This window comes from Homo sapiens, chromosome 4 (genome assembly GCF_000001405.40).
Source record: "Homo sapiens chromosome 4, GRCh38.p14 Primary Assembly".
Lineage (NCBI taxonomy): Eukaryota > Metazoa > Chordata > Mammalia > Primates > Hominidae > Homo > Homo sapiens.
In genome coordinates, this window is record NC_000004.12 from 94,337,734 (window position 1) to 94,344,809 (window position 7,076).

General features: G+C 38.6%; 1 protein-coding gene across 2 annotated transcripts in view; it reads right to left on the reverse strand.

The window, feature by feature from the left end:
* The window catches only part of HPGDS (hematopoietic prostaglandin D synthase), a 44,302-nt gene extending 39,199 nt beyond the window's left edge, over positions 1-5,103 (reverse strand). For both annotated transcript variants that reach the window (XM_005262932.4, NM_014485.3), the window contains exon 1: positions 5,062-5,103. The gene's annotated coding sequence lies outside the window, so the exon portion shown is untranslated. The remainder of the gene's footprint in view (positions 1-5,061) is intronic.

Sequence of the window (7,076 nt, forward strand, 5' to 3'; positions counted from 1 at the left end):
GTCAATTACCACATAGATACCAGTGTCCACCTGTTGAATTCTGCATGAAAACAAAGTGATTGTTTTTTATTATTGTTAATTTTCAAAATCATGCTATTTTATATTGTATTTCACTCAAGTAAAGAAGACATTTAAAAATTCTCAGCATAGGTTGGTAGCTATCTATATTTCTCTGCAAAAATATCTTGAAGTCTAAGATTTGGCAGAGGCCCAATAGCAGCTAACAAATGCTTATCTTTCCTTTTAAAATATTCTTTCAACAGTTGTAACTCATTAATGAAGCTGTACTTTTTACATGACATTTCTGTAGTTATTTGCATAATTATATTTTCTGTTTGTCTCAGGAATACCAGATGTTATATCAGAACATCCATCTGTATAATAAACTACATTAAAAGAGAAAAATCAGGCCGGGTGCAGTGGCTCACGTCTGTAATCCCGGCACTTTGGGAGGCCGAGGCGGGCAGATCACTTGAGGTCAGGAGTTTGAGACCAGCCTGGCCAACATGGTGAAACCCCGTCTCTACAAAAAAATATACAAATTAGCTGGATGTGGTGGTGTGAGCCTGTAATTCCAGCTACTCAGGTGGCTAAGGCACGAGAATTGCTTGAACCTGGGAGGCAGAGGTTGCAGTGAGCCAAGACCGCGACACTTCACTCCAGCCTGGGCGACAGTGAGACACTCTCTCTCAAAAATAAGAAACAGAATTATCATGAAACATACTATCATCTCAATAGATACTAAATGCTTTTAAAAAGCATTTATAACATTATCACTCATTTGTGATCAAAATTCTTAGCAAAATGAAAAAACAAAATAAAATACCTCTTATCAAACTAGCAATAGAAGAATACTTCCTTAACCATATAAAGAGTCTCTACTAAAAACTTATAGCAAATATAATACATAATGGTGAATCAATAAAAGCATTTTCTTTAATGTCAGAAGTAACAAGAATCCCACTATAACATCTACTATTCAGCATAATGCTGGACAGCCTAGCTAATTCAATAATGTAAGACAACAATAAATAACATTTGTTAAGTAGTAGGAAGGGAGCGACACAGCATCCATTTGCTGTGTCCAAAATGATTGTCTATATTTAAACTTCGAGAGATTCTACAGATAAACTGGATCCTAGATTTCAAATGGAAATGCTAAGGACCAAAATAGCCAAGACAAAGAAAAAAAGAGAACAGGAGAGGAGGACCTGATGTACCAGATAGCAAGACTTAGATAAAAAGCCTTGTAATGCGGTATTTGCTCAGAGGTGCATTGTCTTAAAACAGAACCTCATATATAGGACAGACATGACATAGAGTGAGGACTAAATGGTTCTGAGACTGAAACTAGACTAAAATGGTTCTGAGACAATAGAGGGAAAATAAGCATAATTAGACCCCAACTTTCTATCAAACACAGAAATAACATCTAGGTTATCTTGGTATGATTTGACTAGCATAGCAAAACTGCAGTATCATTCTGGTCCCTTATTTCCTGTTAGCTTCATTTCTGAACCCTTCCACTGTCGTTGTGTTAAGAATCTCATGTAGAGAAAACTGCATGTTTCCTGAAATGATACAGAAGCCTGAAGTTTAAAAGCTGATTGTGTTTGAAGATATTTACATCTAAAGATCTTTGCATCTAAAATTAACCACTGGCTTCCTTACACCCCAAAGTATATCGTGTAAAGTTACTAATTCAGCAGATAGATAAAAAGCTCATTTAGAATTCTGTTTGAAAAATAACCTATACGGTTTATCAAAGAACACATAAACGACTAATAAATACCCTGGATAAAAACTTAGACATATAAACTCATATGAACATAGCTATCCACTGCAGAAGATTTAACTTTTAATATTAATATATGCATTAGGAAATAAGCTCTTTTATATGGGAAATAACAGTGTTTTTAAAGTACTATCTTGGGTACTTCCTTTCTTTCTCTTTCTTTCTTGTAGCTTTTTTTTACTTTATAGAATGCTTGTTATGGTTTGGCTATATCCCCACCAGAATCTCATCTTGAATTGTAGCTCCCATAATTCCCACTTGTCATGGGAGGGACCCGGTGGGAGATAATTGAATCATGGGGGCGGTTTCCCCCATACTGACTTCATGGTAGTAAATAAGTCTCACGAGATCTGATCATTTTATAAGGGATTTCCCCTTTAACTTGGCTCTGGTTCTGTCTTGCCTGCTGCCATGTAAGACATCCCTTCCTCTTCCGCTATGATGGTGAGGTCTCCCCAGCCATGTGGAACTGCAGTGCAGTGGCGCAATCTGGGCTCACTGAAATCTCCGCCTCCTGGGTTCAAGCGATTATCCTGCCTCAGTCTCCCAAGTAGCTAGGATTATAGGTGTGCGCCACCACATACAGCTAATTTTTGTATTTTATTTTTTAGTGGAGATGGGGTTTCACCATGTTGGCCAGGATGGTCTCGATCATCTGACCTTGTGATCCGCCTGCCTGGGCCTCCCAAAGTGCTGGGATTACAGGTGTGAGCCACTGTGCCTGGTCTAAACCTTTCTTTCTTTCTTTCTTTCTTTCTTTCTTTCTTTCTTTCTTTCTTTCTCTTTTTTTTTTTTTTTTTTTTTTTTTTTTTTTTTTTTTTTTTTTTTGAGACGGAGTCTCTCTCTGTCGCCCAGGCTGGAGTGCAGTGGCGTGATCTCCACTCACTGCAAGCTCCACCTCCCGGGTTCACGCCATTCTCCTGCCTCAGCTTCCCGAGTAGCTGGGACTACAGGCACGCGCCACCACGCCCAGCTAATTTTTTTGTATATTTAATAGAGATGGGGTTTCCCCGTGTTAGCCGGGGTGGTCTCGATCTCCTGACCTCGTGATCCGCCTGCCTCAGCCTCCCAAAGTGCTGGGTTTACAGGGGTGAGCCACCGGGCCCGGCCCGCCCCCCTCCCTTTTTTTTTTTTTTTTTTTTTTTTTGAGACGGAGTTTTACTCTTGTCGCCCAGCCTGGAGTGCAATGGCGTGATCTCGTCTCACCGCAGCCTCTGCCTCCCGGGTTCAAGCGATTCTCCTGCCGCAGCCACCAGAGTAGCTGGGATTACAGGCACCAACCACCACGCCCGGCAAATTTTTTTCTTTTTTTTTTTCTTTCTTTTTTTTTTTTTGAGACGGAGTCTTGCTCTGTCGCCCAGGCTGGAGTGCAGTGGCGCAATCTCGGCTCACTGCAGCATCCGCCTCCCGGGTTCAAGCGATTCTCCCTGCCTCAGCCTCCCCAGTAGCTGGGATTACAGACGCCCACCACCGCGCCCAGCTAATTTTTGTATTTTTAGTAGAGACGTGGTTTCGCCATGTTGGCCAGGACCTCCTAACCTCAGGTGATCCGCCAGCCTCGGCCTCCCAAAATGTTGGGATTACAGGCTGAGCCACCTCGCCCGGCCAAACTTTTTTTTCTTTATAAATTACCCAGTCTCAGGTATGTCTTAATCAGCAGCGTGAAAACTAACTAATACAATGCTGATTTATTTCATCTGATTAATTCAATCCCAGAGGCAATTTTAACATAATCATTGAAAAAATTACAAACTTTTATAATAAAACAATTTAACAATATATTATTCCGTATACTGCTGTAAAAGCACAGTAAAAAATAGTCTCAAAAATTCTAGTCTCTGTGCCAGAAAGATGACAACAATCCAATTTCAACTCTCTGACAACACAGGCTAATCAATATCCAATGCCTATACTAAACATCTTAATAAAGACTTCAGCCGAAATATTTTTAGTTCAAAAAAGAGAACTTTTGGAATAATTTTGTTAGATAGAAAACTTACAAATGAGGAATTAAGTATTGACCATTCTACAGTTCAATACAAAATGTTAGCCAACGTAAGCTCTTACTCTTAAATACGACACATCAAGAATTCAAACATATTTGGGCATTCCAGACACAGTTTTTTACATGCTTAGTAATTGCGCAATAATCTGAGTTAGAGATATAAAAACAAAGATTACTTGTGAATTTGCTATAGCTCTTCTTTGAGTTTAAGATGCAGATCTTAACTTGCCCAGTAATAAACTTATACAAAATGTAATGGCCTAGAGCATGTTTACACTCCTATTATATAGACCCTGGTGTTCTGAAATGTAAAAATTGGATTCAGACAGCAATCATGTGAGATACTATTGTTCACAGGGGAACTTCTTGCATATACTGACATTAAAACAGCTTTTTATTACCCCTAACATTTGATGGTAAAGAATGTTAATTTCCCTCATTTCACAGTGTCCCTGGGCATTTCAAGTTCAATTCTGGAAAAGTTGCCAGGTTGGAGTTAAATTATAGGACAATAGAGAAATAGAAGAATTGTTGTTGACTGAGTAAGATATTGATTTCAATCAAGCACTGGATGTTTAACTTTGAATTAGCAAGCTGAAAGCTCTATTTTTTTTTTTTTTATCAAATATCAACTAAATGTCATTTTAAGTGACTGTTTCACATTAAAGCCAAAGCAAGAGGAATAACTGAAATATCCTTTGGGAGCTGTGAGTTGAAATTCCTGGCCTGGGGTAAATCCCTTAAACCATCTCTGAAGCCAAAAGATGATAGGTTGCAATTCTTATCAAAACATGGAGATGCTTCAACAAAATGTGCCTTAAAATAATATAAAATATTACCAGTAAAAGTCTTAAACTTTAAAGCAAAGGAAAGAAATTGAACAGCCATGAGATAATATTCTCTACTCCATCAATCCAAGTTATTGAAGAATCACTTGGGAAAATTCTGGAAGTAGTAACAAACCCTGATTAAGACAGGATTTTTCCTCTAGCATTGATTATATTTTCTATGTTAAAATCCACTTGAAGAGATCTTCTTAAATCTCCTGTACCTATATTTCCTTAAAAATGACTATTTGAGTTTCACATATTCGCATATATGGAGAGGTTCTGGGTAAGACAAGGTCAGAGTGAGCACCATCATGAAAATAGCTCACAAGACAGTTAGTCACAAACAGGATATGAGAATAATAAAAACTCTGAAGTAAAGAGTAAAGCATATCTCATTTATTACCTATGTGGAGTTCAGTAATATGACTTACCTGTGTTATGTCTCTCGGGAGTCTGCAGTGTCTTGTATCCCTGGGTATGTGACTGTGCCTTGGGTTTATATGACGAGTAAGTGATAATCACGAGCCAGTGAGAGGACAGGCAACTTCCTTCTACCTAACGCTCTTCCTTCTTTTCTTAGATAAAACATGCATGCCAGGCAGTTCAAGCCTGCGAAGACTGCTGGTTATACAGGATATCTGGGTATAAATAAACCAACACATTTGTATACAAGGTAAAGTCAAAGTTATAGCTGCATATGTATGCCCACTGTTACATGTTCACTTATTTTCAGTTTTACACCATAGGCTCCTGGAGAATAAGAAAACCTGAATGTAATGAAATCATCTTTGCAGATGTGCACATGACTTGCTTCTCTATTTTAGAAACAGTCTCTCCTGTACCTGCTGTATGTTCCTTCGAGGCAGTGTCTAACAATGTGGTGTATTTAACTTGTTTGTTTTTGGTTTCTCCCAGTGGAATGTAAGCTCTGTAAAGGCAGGCACTTCACTGTCTTTTTCACTATTGTCTCCTCAGTTCTAAGAGGAGTGCCAGGCATGTCATGACCACTAATATACATCTGATGATAGAATAACCCTAATTTATAGTTCACGTTTTTGCAAGGACTGTAAATTTGCATTGTTGCTGGTTTATTTCATTTACTCTCATTTCTCAGAAAAGCCAAAGTGTTTAAAGTAAACCTGGTGTAGAAGTTTCCAATTCATCTTGTTTGTGATCCTTTTACAATTTAGTAACAAATGCCTGACATTTTAGAAATTTATTGTTTCACTTCTTAGTGCAGGAATTATTTTTATCTATAATATTAGGACAGCTCAGTGAAAAGATCCAATAAAATGCCTGCCTGGGCCTTACTGAGCCTGAGGATTATCCATGAAACATTTCAATGACCAGCTGGCTTTCAACTTCCAGAAAATTACTCCCACAGGCAACAATAGCAACATATCAATCATTTAATATTTCTTATTTCTAAAGTGCTTTTAATTTTGAAAAATATGTTTACATCCACTTAGTATAAACGTCAGAAATGAAAATAAATGTAAATACTAGTATGTAAAAAGAGAAGACGCAAGTGTAGCCCTTTACCCACCAAAAAAGGATACATGTGTGTCAAAATCAAGTGCAAATGGGATGGGAGTGGGAGCTATACAAAATTAACACAATGCATTTATTATCTTTGACAGCTTTAACTTATATTTTCAAAAAAATCTTTTTATCCTCACCTCAATGATTTTTAATCCCTATTTTTATAAATGAGGAAACTGAGACATAGGGAAATTAGGTAAATTGCCTGCGAATTTTTGTTGGGACAAGCTAGGATTAAAATCTAGGCCTTCTGATGACACATTTAATATTTTTCCTTACATAATGCTGCCTATATATAATACGAGACTGCTTCAGTTAAAAAAAAATCAAGTATACAAAAAATAACACTTTTCTCATTTTGTATTACAATTTTATCTTTTACGACCAGTTGTTTTGGCTGGAGGAAAGCAGAGTAACACATCAAGGATTGGGGAAGGAGCAGCCACTTGATCCTTGGTCACCGATCAACAGAGGCTGCTCTAGAGGCATCCATTGTCCTTGTGTGCATGGCCTCCACGCCAGGAGCTCTCTGCAGCTCCTGTAGCATTCTCATTTTGCTACCTTCTTGCCCCAGTGTGGTGGTTTCATCACAACGCTGCCTGAGATTCCACCTGCCCAGTACCCAACAGAGCCACTTCTTCTCTGTGGTCTTTCTACCTCCCTGGAGGCACAAGAGGGTCCCAGGAGAGGGTCCCAGATCTCCTCTACTCGGGAAGCACAGCTTTCCCATCCTCTTGTCTCTTCTCCCAGCCCAGGTGGGGGTGCTCTAACTCTCCTAGTCTTCTACCAGCTGTGGGCCTTTGGGCAGGTAACTTAATCTCTCTGTGCCTGAGCTCCTTCACCTTTAGATGGAGATTGATTCTACAATAAATATTTATTTGTTCCTAATCTTTGCCAGGTATTG